Source organism: Homo sapiens, chromosome 3, assembly GCF_000001405.40.
Source record: "Homo sapiens chromosome 3, GRCh38.p14 Primary Assembly".
NCBI lineage: Eukaryota > Metazoa > Chordata > Mammalia > Primates > Hominidae > Homo > Homo sapiens.
The window spans coordinates 158449054-158468308 of record NC_000003.12 but is presented as its reverse complement, the minus strand read 5'-3'; the positions used below and the strand labels follow the sequence as shown (position 1 = coordinate 158468308).

Below are 19255 nucleotides of genomic sequence, written 5' to 3'. Positions count from 1 at the left end.
TAGGCTTTAATACTTGAGTTATTTAGAGCTAGCTTGAAAAAGATCATGAAATGTATTTGTAGAAAATAATTTTTCTGGCCGGGCGCGGTGGCTCACGCCTGTAATCCCAGCACTTTGGGAGGCCGAGGCAGGCGGATCATGAGGTCAGGAGATCGAGACCAACCTGGCTAACAAGGTGAAACCCCATCTGTACTAAAAATACAAAAAATTAGCCGGGCATGGTGGCAGGCACCTGTAGTACCAGCGACTCGGGAGGCTGAGGCAGGAGAATGGCATGAACCCAGGAGGCAGAGCTTGCAGTGAGCCAAGATTGTGCTACTGCACTCCAGCCTGGGCGACAGAGCGAGACTCCGTCTCAAAAAAATAATTTTTCCTCACAGGTAATAGTAATAATATGATCAAATGGAGTTGCTTCTGTGCTGGTATTTAATTGTTACTACAAGAACACAGAAAACTTAGCCAAGTAAAATAAATTTTATACTCATCTTGGATAGAAACACACAAAATACAGTTTCTGAAGTTTCAATAACGTCAATCTAGTGAAAACAGAAAAAATATACATCTTGCTTTAATGTAAATCTCTGTCTCATTTAGTAACCTTAAACAATTTAGCCCATAACTATACATTACTATATCATGTACTCTGCTACCATTTCAGGTTCATTTGCCATGTTTTCCTAAATTGACTGTAAGTTCTTTGAGAGCAACAGAGAACCATATCTTTCATTTCGGCATCCCTAAAGGTGCATACTATGGTGAGTATGCCAAATTGTGCTAAAAACCAGACAAACAAAAGCAGTAACTAATATTTTATAAAGTCTATAAAATGGTTTCATACGCACTATGTAACTACATATTTAGATAGTAGATAGATTATTATCATACTTATTAACAGATGGGGAAACTTGGTTCAAAGGGACTACCTAAGGTCACACAGGATGTGAAAACAATAACCCTTATTTGAATTTAGTGTATTTTATGATTTGTTTTCATTTTATTTTCTGTCTCCCCCTTATCCTCTAGAATGTAAGCTCTTTGAGTATATGGGCTTTGATTTTCTCTTTGACTGATTTTTCATACAGCTTAGAGCAGTATCCTGGATGTAGTGAATATTCAGGAAATATTTTTTGAGTTGATAAAAGTCACTAAAGGGATGAAAGATAAAAGAATAATCGTCATACTCTTTTGTGTTGCAATTCTGAGTAACAACAATAGTTTATATTTAGTTATGAAGTATTTTTTTCTTAAGAGACTAGAGAGCAGCTCTGGACTTGAGAGACTTTTCTTAAGAGACTTAATCCAGCTCAATGGAACCTCGAACTTCTGGGCTCAAGTGATCCTCCTGCCTCAGCCTCCTGAGTAGGTGGGATTACAGATGGCCACTACCATGCCTGACTAATCTTTTTTCTTTTTGAGACAGGGTCTCACTATATTGCCCAGGCTAGTCTCGAACTCCCGGGCTCAAGCAACCCTCCTTCCTTGGCCTTCCAAAGTGCTGGGATTACAGATGTGAGCCATCATGCCCGGCCTGAAGTGCTTTTAAAATACTATCGCCATTTCATATTATAATGATTCCAGGCAGCTTTTATCATGTTCCCCACTTTAGAGTCGCAGAGAGGTTAAGTGATTTATTCGGTCACAGAGCTAGGAAATGGCAGAGCTGAGATTCTGAACCTCATTCTGTTACTTCAGCCAAAGGAAGCTAGCTAGGGCTATTTCAAGTAGAGCACAATTGATTCCTTAGATTGTACTAGCTTCTCTAAGTTACTCTCAGGATTGTACACCTGTGGGCATTCAATATGTATGTCAGCTTCCTAATGTTTAATTTATATTGCAAGTATCTGACTGAATAGAAAGCCTGTAGCTTTGAGTTGGTCTTGAAATTTGTGTTTGTAGTAAACAGAATATATTTAAATCAGTAAGGAAACACACGATAGCCAGTCACTGGAGGCCTAATGATGATTAAATAGATATCAGTATATCTGCATTTCATGTACATAAACATCTTACTGAAAATAAGTAAAATGCGATCTAAATTGGCTTCCAATTCCATAAAGAGTATAGCTGAATGTGTATGAAGCAAAAATAGTATGACTTAGCTATTACGAAAATAAGGAAGGATTCCTTGCTTGGTTAAAAAGTTAAAAATGAATTAACACACATTTACTGGAATCGCTGAAACTGAGAAACAGGTTGATGCTATGTAATATGGAATAGAAAAAACTGAATCTAAGGGAAAGGTTAAAAATATTTATCAATCAAGTTCTTGCAGACATATAATCAAGAGTATTACAAAGGACAAATCACTGCTGAGGGAAATAAGACAGATGGCTAGGATAAATGACTGAGTTCTCTTGAGTGAATTTTCTTTTTTCTTTACTAAATAAGAACTTGAGGAAAAATATGCAATGAAGCAATGTATTCAGGCTAAGCAGATTTTCTTTTTAAAGAAAACAGTACTCTAACATTAGAGCTAATATGTTAAAAAACTATAGAAATATTTTAAAATTATGACAGATATATTAATAGAACTATTAAATCTGATACACAGGAAACACAAATTTCTTAAAGGGACATTTTAAATCTTACAATGGAACCACCTAATAAAGTAAGATAAAGAAGGGGGGATTTTCAAATGTGTAAATGTAAGAAAGAAATAATATTGCATATTACAATGAGTAGCCAATTCAGGACGAGGGCTAGAAAGGACAATCACGTTACTTCTGCCTAACCTACTTGGATCTACATGCAAACTGAATAAATAGTGATTCCTAAATGATGCCCTTGTACCTGCTAACTTCTCCTTTCAACTTCACTCCTACTTTCTTATAAAGGGTATCCAGAAGGAACAAAGGGTCTTAGGGTCTATGGGTCTTAGGTGATGAACCACAGTGGAGGGAAAGAAGGGATTATAACAGTTCTCTCTCTGGGTGTGCTCAGACTTGGTGCTAAGTGTGTTTTATGCTAGAAACTACAAAGCACGGGGCCAGGCAAAACCTCAGAGAAAGGAACCTGAGAAACTAGATGCTTAGGTTTGGCTCTGGTCCAGATTCTGAAGGCTAGGTGTGGAGGACACACTATGAGTATCTTACATTGACCAGGCAGTCCGTAGGGGAAAAGCAGATAGAGATTATGCAAAAAGGACATAGACACCCTGACAAAATGTGCCTCTAAATGGAGTACCTCACCTATTCGGTGTCCCAGAAACTCAAGTGAGGCAACCTAGTATGGATCTAGATCTAAGTTAGGACAGGAAAACTTTACAGTAAGCAACTTCCTAGGAGCTGGAGGGCAGGCTCCAGAGAGGAAGGCAAAGGATAAGAGAGAGAATTATATTATTTTTGAGCACTGATTCTAAGGGTTGTGATTTATGCAGGCTATTTAAAGAGGGAAATGTGTACTGGAGTCTGACTGCCCGGGTTTGTATCCTGGCTTCACCACTTATCAGCTACAGAGCAAGCTATTAAGCACTGTGCCTTTGTTTCCTATCCTCCCTGTTGTACAGGGATAATAGCACAAACCGTATAGAGTTCATGATGATTAAGACAGTTAATAAGTAGAATACTTAGAACATTGTCTGGCAACCACCTTGCCTTTCAGTTACTAGTACTCTTTACCTCACCTTCACTGAATGATTATTAAGAAAGAAAAAAGAAAAATAAAATTAAGGCTAATATATTTTACTTCTTGTCAATCAGCTCTGGCAAGATTTGATGAATTTAAACTTAAACAAATGAGACTTGAGGACTGCTCTGTCTTTACTTAAACTGCCTTTTATTATGTTCATATTTTCACTGTCCACCATTCCCATGAATAATTTAGAAAGGGCTGCCTAACACTTTTGGAAACAAAAAATATTTGAAGTAAAAAAACTAACAGATGGGTAGAGCTGTTTTGAATAAACACAAGGGGAAAAAGAATTCAAAAGCTACTATACTTATACCACAAATAGGAAATTCATATTAGAGAGAAGTCAAATGCAAAGAAAGACTACTATGCTTACAATGGATTTAAAACATAATTAGCACCCTTAAATGCATACCAAATTAAATATAAAAATACACAGAAAATCTAAGCAGTTATGCTAATGCATTCAATAATAGAGAGAAATAGAAGTTAAATGCTTTTTAATTATATACTTTAAAAGTATAGTTAGAACATTTTCAAACACATACAGAGAAAAAGAGTAAGTCAATTATTTATTAAGTCAAAGAATAAGAAAGAAACCAGAACTGAAAGATTTAATACTATTCAGTTTTCCTAAATTATAATCTAGAATTAGAAAAAAAGGGACACTGTAAACTTAAACTTTAAATATTTAGTTGACCTTTACTGAAAGATATAACATTCCTATAACAACTAAAGTGGAAAGAATTAGTGGCTCAAGAGTGAGCGCCTATCACCAATGTACTAGCGATATTCACTAAGTGGAAAAATCAACTGAACTATATAAGGACATGAAGTGCACTCTAAATGGGCCCCCATTGGTTAAAGGCTGGAAGGCAAAGTAGTCATCCTGGACCAGTTTTGGTGTGCAGCCTGACTTTTATTTTGGATGCAATACTTGCAAACATAATTATGTTATTGATTTAAGAACACTCAAAGGAAGACTGCATAATAGAATGAATTTGCATGGCACAGATCTTGCTATGCTAATACAATAGCTTTTCTGAGATAACAGAGAGTGGATAAAGGGAGCTGGGTAGACAACATTTATCTACATTTTCGCAATGCTTTCAACTCTGTATTGCACATCAGCATGATGAGAAATTAAGAGATGAATTGTATAAATGATGTGACAGAGTGAATTACTAGTGGCTTACAGACTGAAAATAAAGGATTTTTATTCTTTCAGATACAGAACTATATACACACATGCATACTGATCTAAGGTTTCAATTTGCAGTTAGACTAATTATATGAAATAAAATAAATGTAGCTTATACATTAATCACTCTCAGGGAACTGTTAATTTGATAGCATTCAAGTATCTAGACAACTCAAGAGAAAAAAAATTTGGAAGCAAACAACAACAAAGAATCTAGCAAATAGTTTAGCAAATTTTGACAGTATTTTGACATTCTTTGGTTTAATTTTGCATGCTCTAAATTATTACAGCAATAGCTTAATAGTTACGGCCTGTCTTAGAAAAGCCCTTAACAAAGTTGGGTTATACTTTCAATGAGATTATTTGGAATCCCGTTGCAAGCTCAAAATAAGCTACTTAGCATGAATTTAAAAGAATAAAGGGAAATTGGTCATTGATTTATTCATTCATCATGCAACAATTCAAGAAACTGAGTTTCTACTATGTGTTAGGCATTGTGGATATTAAGTCCTCTGTAATCCTGTAGTTTATACTCTAGTTAGAATGCTAGATTTTTAAAGATGCTAATTAAAACAGCTATGATTGGAGGAATATGCTTTTTCAACAATTCTCAGGAACTGAAAGAAAAAAGGTACTGTATATTGCAGACTACGTATAAGGTCAGTGTGATTTAGTGAAAAGTCTAAATTAAAAATTACAAAGAATTATAATGTTCAAGTATCTATAGTTACTTAAGAAATTCTTAAGCAAATGTCTTAAAAGATGCTTAGAGCTAATTTAATGAAAACAAGAGAGCTGTAGAAATATCAACTGTCAACATGTAAATGAGGAGTTCTGAAGTATTAAAAAAGTTTCTTTTGCTAAGATAAGCATTCATATTATTTTTTTCATAAAAACAAATCACCTTGAAATTTCAATATCTGTGATTACTCTCACTGCCATTCATTTTCAACTGATTAAGATTCCAATTAAGATCTGAATTAATAGGATTAGGCTAATAACCACTACAACATATTTTCACTGTATTGCTTGGTCATAAGTACTATACACGTGATTTACGGTACCACAGAGTTTTATAAGGGCCATTATGTTATTAATTAGTTACATTGATCAGAATGCCACACAACATAGCAGTACTTAAAAATTATAATTTGCTTAGACACATTTGCATTTAGTCTTATGTCTGTTTGTACTATGGGCACATTATAAGGATAACTGAAATCAGATAGCTTGCTTTCATTAACAATGCCAAGAGATCCAAAAGAAGGTAATTCTACTGAGGAATCTTGCTACTGAAATTCATTTTTTTCTCAGTATACCATAAAATTAGTTGATCCCGGAAAAGAGCATAAAGCCAGGATATTTGGGGGTCAAGTAAGGTAAGAACACTATACTATATGTGTACAAATTCATCCACATTTAGTTTGAATCTACTTATTTGTAGGGATCTGCCACTTAAATCTACAGTTTTTTTTTTTTTTTTCGCTTGGTTTTGAGGATGGCTCTGATGGGTTTTAAGCATTCTAAACCATTATACTTTGGGTTTTACTGAATCTCAGCTTCCATGTAGTTGCTGGGAAGTTCAGATTATCTTCTGGTTGTTACAATAAAACACAGGTACCTACTAAGGCAAAAATTTCAACTTTCAGATTTTGACTACAGCACTCAAAAGTCCAAATTCTGGCACATATTATCAGACTTCAACTTCTCAAAAGCTCACAAGAGGAAATAGCTACCCTGTGAAATTAGCCAATAAAGTGACATGATTGCCATTCTAAGCAGATCATCAACTTAACTCACTGAGAAAGATTTGCCTGAATCTTGCTTTAAGCACTGTAATTTAGAACAGTATATGTATATAATCCCCCGTGAAGAAAAAAAGGCAAAATTTTCACTCACATAAATCACAGATAGCAAATTAAGGGGAAAATAAAAATTTGTTAGAGGAGATAAAAATGTGTTAGATTTGTTTAGATAATATTTTGGGGGAATGGCCTAAATGTTGTTTTTTAAAAAGAATATCTTTAAAAATGAAGACATGGATTTCATATGACTATTTATGACATTTTGAATTTCAATGTTCTCTCAACTTTAAAAAAGTTTTATTGGCAAGAGGACTTTTCTTCATCACTACTGAAATATTTCAAAATCTATGGATAAGGTTCAATCTATTTCTGTGACTGATTTTGATAATTTTTTAACTATAAAAGTCAGAAGGAACAAACCAACATCAGCACTACTATATAATCTTATCTCCTCCCAATTTCCCAGAATATATAATAGCATGCTTATAAACTAATCTTATGAGAGCAAACATTAGTGTCCAAGACAATGAATATAGTGTGCTATTGTGTCATAGTTTTGGTTCATGAAACAGCATGAAGTAACCCTTAAGGCATTAGATTATATTCTACGGTCTATTCAGGAAATACAGCCAAATAGTGATTTCTCAGAGAAAAATGAACACATGCCTTTACCTTCCTCCTTTCTTCTCTTTGCTTCTTCCTCATTTCTTTCTTTGGCTTTCAATGCTTCATCAGCTTTTGCTGAAACAAAAACAATACAATTTTTGTACTTATTTTATGCCTATATTCAAAGTGAAAATATTGGTTAAAGGGACTAGAAATTCATTACTTATTTTCCACGAAGTAATCACAAGAAAGAAACAAGGCAGTTGAACATCTGAAATACATATTTTATATTCTTTATTCAGAATAAATATTCAGAATATTTATTTATAATTTTTGAAGCTTCATTCAAGACAATCTCTGTACTAAAGGGAAAATGAATTTAAGCAAGACACATTTAAATGATGACATATGAATTGGGAAAAGTTGTTTGTCATTAAAAGTCATCTGATGTATCAGTGTAATGCATTTGTTTTAAATTTTGGAGGAAAGTTCTTAAGGTACAGTTCGCACTTTAAATGTAAGAAGCTTGCAATACCTATGGAACAGTATCAAATTAGGTAGCATACTTTTTTGTTCATTGCACATCATAGTAGTGGTTCTTTATTCATGTTATGACAGCATTTGGTTAAAAGAATCTCTTTCCCTCTAGAAACCTCTTCCCTTATTACTTAATTATCTACTAGTTGCTCAACTGCAGGGGTTTTCAAACACTTTACTACAGATGTTGAGGAAGATTAAAAATATACAGCACAGTAACAAGGGACTATCAATATACTCTGTAAATTAATTAAATTTCTGTTCTAGCACATCATTTATTCCAAAGCATTAATGTCTCAAAGGAGCGATTCTCCTTTATTGCCGTCTCACTGCCTGATGAGTGAACTAAGTGAAAATAAGTCTCTAATAGCATTATAGTTGATGAAATATTAAGTTAAAAAAGTATTGCCTTGTCAAAAGAAAAAGAATCAAACTGTGCCAGCATTAAACTTTGGATGAGCCTTTATTATAATAATAATAGCAATGTAAACTGTGATTTAAAAAATAAACCTTCTTACTCTTCAATTTTTTGCTGCATATATTTTTCCTATGCAAAATCAACACATCCTTTAGAAGTATAATGACTGGCTTAAAGGGGAAATTTATATAAAATATATGTCACACACAAAACTATTTTTCTTCAAAGTTTGATTTTTCTTTACCATTAATATTGACACTTTCTTAAAGTATAAAACTTATATAATGGTGTTATGAAGTACTATATCCAATTACACAGACATCTGTTTCCATTTACAAGCTTTTATATATACTTAGACTGCATTTAAAGTCATGAAATATTAAAACTTTTATGCCACTCCATATCATTGCAAGAATCTATTAAATTAGATAATAAAAACAAACCACCAGTAACTCTAAAGACTTTTACTTCATTTACACTTTATTCTCCCTGGTAGAAGGACAAGGATAATAGAAATTCCATTTAAATTCAATTTTGGTTATATGTGTAATTGTAGATATACCCCTTGAGTCATGTAAAATGCTCAGCTTATGTTTCTTTCAAATTATCCCGCTCAGATTCACATTCTACTCCTTACAACCATCTTCAATATGTATTAGCAGGGCTCATTAGACTGAAATTTAATAATGCAAACATCAGGTGGATTTCAAGAACCTCCATTAACAACGTAAGATGGATTGCTTATATATAGCTCTTGGGCCAACTGGGCACAATTTAAATTCAATAAACTAGCCTGCCTAAATCTGATTTATCTATTTCACTATGCTAGTTTATCCTTTCTTACTGATTTGTTGCTATACATGGACAATTCATAGGAATATTATTTTATATGTTTTTTTTAAACTGCAAATGGCTCTGGTGCTGTGGTTAAATATTTTATGTAATTGAGCTTCAAACTGTCAATCAAGAGCTCCAAATATATGTCTGTGTGTACATGTGCATAAATAGAAAATCTTTTGAATTATGTTGAAATAGTATAGATAATAATTAATCTTAAAAGCACACACTTGAAAATTTTACCAACAATCAGTATGTCCTCCATAAAGAATCTGAGTTCACTTGAAGGGAACAATTACTTAAATTGAGTCCTTAGGATAAACTCCTCATTGACTATTAAGGAAATCTGGAAAAAATGTTCTTTTTGTCTTTCTGACTGCTTTATAATATTATGATTTAAGTGTGAATAAAGGAAGAACTCATGGCATTCATATGTGATTTAATTTATTCTGCAAATTTTTGTATTCTCAAAAAGGTGGCAATCCCATTTTACAAACAGGGATACTGAATCTTACTAGATGTGCCATGAAATTTGACACCAAAGAGCATAACGAACAAGTGGTCAGACCTGCTCTAATGATTCATGATCCTGTTCGGATACCAGATCTACTATTAAGCACTTCATTTACCAAAGTAATTACATCTTTTACTAATCTTGTACACAAGTTCCAGTCCCTTGGTTCTTCCACTCTCCCCGGCTAACTGTCCCCTCTAGGCTTCGCTTCCTTCACTACCCACCCTGGACGCCAAGAAAGTCATTTCTATTCCATGCTTATAGACATCCTACTTCCTCTGTTGTTTTGCTAAGCTGTTGCTATTAAGTTAGTGCAAAAGTAATTGCGGTTTTTGCCATTTTTAGTAATTGCAGTTTTTGCTATTTTAATGGTTTTTGCCATTAAAATAGCAAAAACTGTAATTAATTTTGTAACAACCTATAACACATTTGACCATTTTTTTCTATTTTTGCTGCAGAGGCTCCCTATGAAACAGTGTATACATGCTATTTATTGACTCTACCAAAAACCAATATTTTAGAAATTAACATGGATGTTTTTATATTGCTCCTCCTTAGTCAGCATCCATAGTTAGTGTCCATTTTCATTTCCTACAACTTACTATGCTGTCTTTACTACAAATGGCAATAACCCCATACCAACTCCCCACACTCCCTTATATTTTCTCAGACTCACTGCCATGTGACTCCAAACTTTTACGTTCATCAATCCTTCTTTGGCTTGTTTTGGAAAGTAAACCCACCCATTTGCACTTTAGAACATATTCCTTTTCATACCCTTCAGGATTCTGTTTGCTTAAGGTTCAAACTCTCTTCCCTACCCTCAGACTATAAATATATTAAAGTCTCACAAATCCTGTAAAACATTTACTCTTCTTTTAACCAAGCTACTGCCTTTTCTTGTTCCCACCAGCTTTTGCCCCCATAGCATTTTCAGTGGTCCTCCCAAAGTCTGTAAGAGCCAAATTTAGGTTACTCAGTTTTATCCCATATATATATTAAAAAACAAACAAAAAAAAAAAACAAAAAAAAACACAAAACACAAAAAACGAAAAACAAAAAAACAGTGAACCAACCACATCTTTCTGGAAATGCTCTCCTAATTCTGATAATTATTTGTCAGCCTTTTTGGGCTGCTGTTTCTTTTGCTCACCTGTGCCTTCTTGGCGTTCTATTCTTGGGCTGTATATAGGTCTAAATTGTAACACATATGTCTATCATAGCCATACCTATCTATGGTCCCTCTCCTGATCACCAGAACTGTTTTTTTCCAATTACTTCCTGGACACTGCCAAACAGATATTTCAAAATCACATCCACAGTTGAACTCACAATCTATCTCTCAAACCTGATGCTCTTCCCTTAGTATGTCCTATTTTCACCAGCCAACTAATCTCTCAGATTGAAAACCTCTGCAACATTTTCCTTCAACTCTTATCCTTATGCAGTACCAGCTGATTGTACCGGAACCAGCAGTTCTTTTGGATCCAACTCCACAAATTATATCTAGAATCCATTCATTCCTTTCCATTTCATTGCCAATACTCACATTCGGGACCTCATTTCTTTTTACTTTGAACAAGAAAGGAGCTCCTATTTGATCTCTGTACTTCTAATACGAGTACTTCCAATGAACCCTCCATATTACCACCAGAATGAGGAACATGTTTAGTGTTGTGTATCCTTAGCAGTAAGCACAGTATTTAGGACACAGATATGTTCAATAATTGTTAAATAAATAAATGTACCTTTCTAAAATCCAAATATGATGTCACTGTCTGCTAAAAATACTTGAGGGTGCCTTGCTGCATACACACATGTACACACACACGCACACCCCTAAAATCCTTCACATACCATTTAAAACCCTTCATACAACTATTATGTATGAATTTAAAAAAATTTTAAAAAAGTGCTTCACAGCCTGATCTCAATGTAACCTTTCAATGTCATCACTTACTACTTCTCCTTTCTCACTCCAAGGATCTATATAATCTAGCCTTGCTGGGCCACAGTACCTTTTGTTTGAATTGCTATACCTTTGTTACTGCTGGGGTGCCCATTCTCACTTTCTTGCTGAAAAAATCCTACCAGAAAGTTTTACTTCAAATATCACTCTCTTCTGTGAAGCCTTCCCCAATCAACAACCTTTGTCCCCAAGTGGATAAAACTGTTGCTTCTTTTTTCCATAGGTACTTTAATACCCTCTTTATGGGATGTACAGCACTTTATTCTCTTCACTGAAGAACATATACTTGTCTCCTTGAGAGCTGGGCGCATAGTAGTTGTGACAGAAATTGTCAGTGTTTACTTCATGTATCTTTAGCCAGACTACATTTTCTAGTCTCCCAGGCACTTAAGTGTGGCTGTTTACCTGAGTTTGGGCTAATGGAATGTGAGCCTAAGTGATGTGTATACTGTTTCCACAGCTGGCCTATTAAAAAAAAAAAAAAACCCTCACGTAATCCTCACCCTCTTTCCCCATCTACTGGTTCAATCAAGGACTCAAAAAGGGCAAACCACAAGGTTAAAGGAATCTGGTCTCTAAATTCTGCAAGAAGTGCGTTCCTCATGACTTGCATTATACTGTGACATGAGCAAAAAACACATGTATATTATTTTAAGGCAATGAAGTTTTGGGGTTGTTTGTTATGTCCACTTTGCCTAATACAGCAGGTGTTCAAGGAATGTTTCCTAAACGAATGAACGAAAAGGATTTAGAAAATTAATACAAAAATTGTGTTGCTCCTTTTTTTTTTTTTTTTTTTTTTTTTTTTTTTTTTTGAGATGGAGTCTTGCTCTGTCCCCCAGGCTGGAGTGCAATGTCAAGATCTTGGCTCACTGCAACCTCTGCTTCCTGGGTTCAAGCGATTCTCCTGCCTCAGCCTCTCGAGTAGCTGGGATTACAGGCATGCACCACCATGCCCAGCTAATTTTTGTATTTTCAGTAGAGATGGGGTTTCCCCATGTTGGCCAGGCTGGTCGTGAACTCCTGACCTCAGGTGATCCGCTTGTCTCGGCCTCCCAAAGTGCTGGGATTACAGGCGTAAGCCACCGCACCAGGCCATGTTGCCCCTTCCAAAGTGAAGTCTCCTTTCAGAAAAGAATCCCTCCATGGCTGTTTCACTTGGATGATGGAGATCAGAAGAACAGCTGCAGAGGTGACAAGGGGCTAATCAGGGCATGATTCAGGATGTGTCACTGGTAGTATATCACCAGAATTTATTCACATCTTTACCAATTTTATTTTTAAAATTCCATAGGGGATTGGCTTTTTCAATTATTGTAGCTGTTTGCTAAAGTTAGATTTTAAATGATTTGGGGAAGTATTTTATATACCCTATGGCTGTGAATCATCAAATCAAGAATTGGAAAATACTGACAGGGTGTCCGACTCATGCCGTTTCAGAAAAGGCTGTATTAATATTTTCAGGGAAAAATCTCTTTACAGGGCTTTAACAACCCTCATCCCAAAGTTGTTTTCTATATGTAGCCCAGTCTTTGATACTGCATCACCATGAATATACTGCAAATGTTGAGAAATTCTTAAACAGAAAGCAGATGAGAACAAAAGCATAGAAAAATGATTAGAGGAAATCAAAGCCCAATCACGTTCAGATGACTATACAAACATGGAAAAAGTTCTAGGAATGTTCTAATTTTAGAGTCAATGGATACCAAGCACAGGAGATAGCCTTGGGGCAAATATCAAACTGAATTATTATTAAAGCAGCAAAACAATGGTACCTCCCTTGTATGTGATAAGTAGGGGTGCAGGCAGTGTTTGACAACAGGTAAATGTGGTGAGTATAAGAGGTGCTGGAGCCAGTGAGGCAAGGGCAGGTAATTACTGACCCCTAAAAGTCATGACAACCTACCAGTATGTCAGTACCAACAACACATTTTGCTACTGACACAATCAATGGAGACAGGGCACAATGAATTGAAATGACAGGATTACAGGGATTGTCAAATATAAAGATGAACAACCAACCTAGAATTACCAGGCAGTTGAGGTAAACCAATCTTACGAAAGAGATACAACAAACAAGAACAACACAAACAACAATAACACCATAAAACAATTAAGTAGAGGAATTGGTTAATAAGGTAAACAGAAGTTTTTGGAATCACTATCACTGTAAATAACATCCTTAATGCGATGTGGGAAGATACTGATTGCATCTTGGTAACTAAATTTTGACCATCAAAAGAGAACTCCATACATGAAATGAACAGAATGAATACAGTTGAAGACTAAATGAATGTGTTAGAAGATCTTACCAACGAATTTTCCCTGAATGTAAAGAGGCTTACAAAAAAAGTTAAGTGACAATATTATCATTATTGAAGTTAACATTTATTGAATGTTTACTATGTACCTTAGTGTTTGTACATGTGTATATATTTCACTGAATTCTCAAAATGATTCTATGACATAGTTACAATTATTACCCCCATTTTACAGATGAGGAAACTGAAAAACAGAGAAGTTAAAAAAAATTTTCAAGGTCATAGAGTTAGGACAGAAGAAAGATCTATATGTTCTAACATCTATCAAAGAGAAGTTCTTAATTAAAAGAAAGAATGGAGGGAAGATATAATCAAAGACATAATATAAATAGATTTCCTCAGAACTTTAGAAAGGCACAGTTTCTCAGGTTGCAAAGAGAACCTGAGAAAATGCAAAGTAGATACACATAAGCAAATTGTGGTGAAACTGTGAAATACCAAGAAATACCAAAAAGCATTCAAGAACACCTGGAGAAAAAAATAGGTTACTCACAAAGAAAGAAAAGAATAGTTTATATTTAATCAAACTCATCAAATTGCTCAAAAATAGACAAGCCTTTAGAAAGTCTAATCAAGGAAAAAAAGACTGTAATAAAATTCATAAGAAATTAGTAAAGTGACACAATTAGAGATGCAGAAGAAATTTTAAAAAGTAAATACACATACACACAAACATAAACATTTAAAAGCCACAGGGCCATACATTAGAAAATCTAGAGGAAATCAGTAATTTTCTGCGGGGAATTAAGAAGAAGAAGAGAACCCGAAAAGGTTAAAAAGATAAGCTTTTATTCAAAACGCTGGTGAGGTGTGGTGGCTCACACCTGTATTTCAGCACTTTGGGAGGATCAATTGAGGCCAGGAGTTTGAGACCAGCCTGGACAACATGGTGAGACCCTGTTTCTATGAAAAATATTTTAAAATTAGCCAGGCTTGGTGGCATGTGCCTGAAGTCACAGCTACTTGGGAGGCTGAAGCAGGAGAATTGCTTGAGCCCAGGAGTTTGAGGCTGCAGTGAGCTAGAATCCCAAAACTGCACTCCAGCCTGGGTGACAGAGCAATACTCCGACTCGAAAAAAAAAAAAAAAGGTTCCGGGCTACACAGACTTTTGGCCTATCTGACAAAATTGAAAATACATATACCCTGCATCAAGCAATCCCACTTGTAGGAGCCTATTCTATAGATATGTGTGCACAAGAGTTTGAAAATGTGTGCACAAGAGTTTGAAAATGTGTGCACAAGAGTTTGAAAATGTGTGCACAGGAGTTTGAAAATATATACACAAGGCACAGCACTATTTGTAATGACAAAAAAGCAAACAACCTAAATATGGAAGAGGCTAAACACAGTGCAATATTATGAAATACAAAAGCCACTAAAAAGAATAAGATGGCCTGATATATATTAATATGGAAAGATTTTCAAGACAAATATTAAATAAAAAAGCAAGTTAAATAACCATATGTAGCATATCTCATTTACTAAAAAAACCAAAGTACGTAAGTGTATGTATATAAATGCATAGAAAGAGGGCAGAAAGCATGCATGGAGAACTACTAGTTTACTTGCCTAACTAGAATGTGGCACAGCAGGGCTTCTACCCAACTGCAGTGGTCACACTTTTTCCACTTTATTACCTGTATTTAAAAATACACATGAACTCCAATATTCCATCTACAAAGTTAAGAAAATTATACTCTCAAGTTTTGAAGAAGTTTCGTGATGCTCTAATATAAATCTGGGGGCCAAGCAAGAAATGTTCTAATTAACTGTAAATAAAAACATCTAGCAAAATGTATTTTTGCTTATTTCAATTTGTTATAATTCTTAGTACTTTCCACATTAACACTAAGACAATGACCAAGACACTATGGCATTTCACAAACACTGCTGTGTCAAAATATTTTAAGCAATGATTGCAAACTGGCAAGATTTGTAATCACAACACCAGTAATATATCCAGCACTGCTCATCCTATCATTTCACATATGTGTAAACTTTATTGGATTAGTCATCAAAATACATGTAAGAACATTTTCTGACATCTTATTCTTTCTCATGTTCATTCAGTTTAAATATTGTCATGTTTTAAAAATCAGTGTGAGTAAAAAAGATACAGTATAAGCTGACAAGTACTATTTTCCAATAATTTCTAAGTATGAATATTTTATCTACATAAGTCATTACTATGTGTATAGTATTAGTGAACAAATGAAAGGCCCACGAAAATTAAATAATTTGTCAATGGTCAGAATGACCAATACACAGAGCCTGTGAATCACAGTTTAATATTAATTTAATGCTCTTTTTATCTTGTTTCTTACATATTTATTCACCTGGAAGCAAACAGTAATCAAAATAAGGGAATAATTTATTGCTTCCATGCACATGTCACTATTTATGGGGAAACTTTTATCTGAATATACTTTATTCAAAATCACAGAAAATCCAAAAAGTCTCTTGCTTTGTAACAATCATCAAGATATGCCTATTTGTCTCATATATTTAAGATGGCATTAGAAAATGTATCTAGTGAGTTTCTCTTGAAAACACTATTAAATCCCATGAGCCTTTGGGACTGGGGAAACATTCAATAATGTTTCTTCCTCATTTTCTAAAGTTTCTTCCTCATTTTCTAAAATACAGTAGCTCACCTAAAGTGGTATAGTGATTAGTGGTTCTATTTAATGTAATTCTAATTCCCATATGTTATATTACCATGCTTCAATAATTCCCATGTCTCTAAAAAGCACCACTGGAGTGAACAGTTCCTCCAGTTAAGAAAGTGTCTGAATAAAGGCATTATGAGTTTGTATGCTATGTGTTTTGAGATAATAAACAAAGATAGAAAGGGGATATTTACATTTAGGATTTCATTTCCTTTGAAGTTTCATGTTAAGTACTAAGGCAGTTGTAATTTAACATAGAGAGCAAAAACCAGGTGACTGAAGTGCCAGGGTCTCTTTCTAGGTCACACCGGAAAGAAAAGAGCAATAATAAGTGTCTGCAGATACCCCCCAAACTCACTAGTTATAACTATGTCAAATTCATTAAAAATTTTACATATTAACATAGCTGCTGTTTGTGTATATTTAAAGACTATATAATAATAGTTATAATATCAGCTCCTCCCAAGTACAAAGCAGTAAATGCTGAATCAATTTTCCAAATCTATCAGGCCATCTGGTAGCAAACATCAGTACTTTTTGTTATTTTTAATGTCTCAGCAGGAAAAAAGTGTCATGCTGTTAGTATGGAGAAAACAACTTTTAGTTATCAGCAACTAAAAGGAAAAAGGAGATGAACTTAGTTATATAAGAAGAAATATATAGAAACATGTGACAAATAATATTATTCTGGACTAAGGAGTGGCATACATACCTCACAGTAAATAATTATAAATTTACAACTTGACTGAGAAAAGCAGAAAAATTTTGAACTCAAGGAAATATAATTACTAAGAACATCACAATTGCAAAAGCCTAATTAGTTCTTATATATTTAAAAAGAGTATACCCAAGACTTTCTGGATGTGAACTTTCAAATAACAATAGAAAACAACAACATTTAGAACACAATAGTAAGCTACTGTAAATAAAAAGAAACTGTAAAGAATGATTTTTGGAGAAAAAATATAATTAACATAAAATATATAATGTTAAAAAAGCATAATAGGCCACGGTGTTTAAGGTTTTCTCATATAGTTTTTACTGAGTTTTATCTAGACCTCAGAACAACAGATAACCTAAAAACTCATTAGTAATAATTATCAAATTCATTAAAAATTTACATATGGACATAGCTGCTACTTCTGCATATATAAAGACTATAAAACTATGGTCATAATATCAGCTCTCCTCAGGTACCTCTGCCTCATTCTTTACATGCACAGCACAGAAGTGAAATCCGTTAAGTTCTTATTCCTCACCAATTTATACCATTAAATGCCAGCAATACAAATGTACAGGTAAAAATGTTTAGTCATGTCCAATATTGGAAATGATTATTCTGTATCTGCCTCAAACACCATATGCGTCCATAGTAACTACAACTGAAAAATTATTTTACAAATATGAAATTGCAATTATTACACAGCCAGTGCAAAGACTGGCTGTGTAAAAGCAAAAAAAAAAAAAAAGCAAAAAAGAAAGCCATGGTTTATTATCAGCAAATGCTCCAAAAATAAAAACTTTCATCGGATAACCTTACAAGTAAGTTATTTTTTGTTAGTTTCTTCATTTGTCCACTCAAAACAGATTTACAAAGCATAAAACAGATAACCTAGAAAATTCCTCAGCAGAATACTGTGCTCCTTATCATTGTTCCTAATCACTGAGCTAAATGCTGAGGATGGAAAGATGAAGAAGGCATGAACTACAAGGGGAAATGGAAAAACAAACCCCTGTATACAGGTATTCTGAAAGCAATTAAGGAAAGGAATATGGTCAGGGAAGACATCTAGGAGGGGATGATACTTAAGCACCTTTTGTAGGAAAACTTAGCCAGGAGGACACGTCAATTATAGTTGCAATGAACCAGTTTAGAAGGGCCTTAGAATAAGCAGTAGTAGGAAACCAGGAGGTATGTTTCCATATAATCCAAGGGACACTTAACCGAGGACAGCTATATGTCCCCAGAGGGTGCCATCTACTGCCAGGGAGAATTTACCAATTCAAAATGACTAGAACTCAAGAAAGAAATTACGGCACAAATCATATTCAGTGCAGTCAAGTCTCAGAAAAATGTAAATGTCTGTAGTTAGAAGGAAACATGTATACATATGTAACAAACTTGCACGTTGTGCACATGTACCCTAGAACTTAAAGTATAATAATAAAAATATATATATATAAAGATCCTCTGGCCCAGTATTACTCACAGCATATTGCACAGAACACAAATTTCTCACGATTCTCCATTTAAACAAGGTTCCACAGTGGAATAAGATTGGGCAACACAATACAGAATCCTCCCTCATGGAGAGCCACTATGCTTATCTGCAAATTTAAAGCTCTCAGACATTCTGCAGTAAAGAGAATTATTTAACTTAGTCTATGTTTCCCAACTTTATTTTCCAAAAAACTATTCTTCTCCTGTAACATAAATAAACAAAGAATACATTTCAGGAAATGCTAATCTAGTACAATGGTTTCAGCAACCGTATTTTCATTTCTTCCCTAACTCAGATTCTAAGAGGGATAAAGATATTTCATTATTAAATTTTTTTTTAAGTTCTCCTTTGGATGTTTAGAGACACTGAAACTATAAGAATAATTTTTCTCAAGTCTAGAAATGATTTGTTGCATCTCGTGCTTTAAGTTATATATTACTCAAAAGATCGATTATGTTTATTTCTGCAAATTGTTAGAAATAATACTAGTAATAAATGATGATATTGAAAAATGAAAAATGTGGG

The 19255-nt window shown here is 34.2% G+C and overlaps 1 protein-coding gene across 5 annotated transcripts in view; it reads right to left on the bottom strand.

Annotated features, from left to right (window-relative positions):
- Window positions 1–19255, bottom strand: part of RSRC1 (arginine and serine rich coiled-coil 1) — a 435642-nt gene that overhangs the window by 77422 nt on the left and 338965 nt on the right. For 4 of the 5 annotated variants that reach the window (NM_001271838.2, NM_016625.4, NM_001271834.2 and 1 more), the window contains one exon: window positions 7306–7374. In NM_001271838.2, coding sequence (NP_001258767.1) covers window positions 7306–7374 — 69 coding nt within the window. Of the gene's footprint in view, window positions 1–4525; window positions 7375–19255 lie in introns of those variants that run through there. The other variant, XM_047448273.1, reaches the window with a different exon arrangement.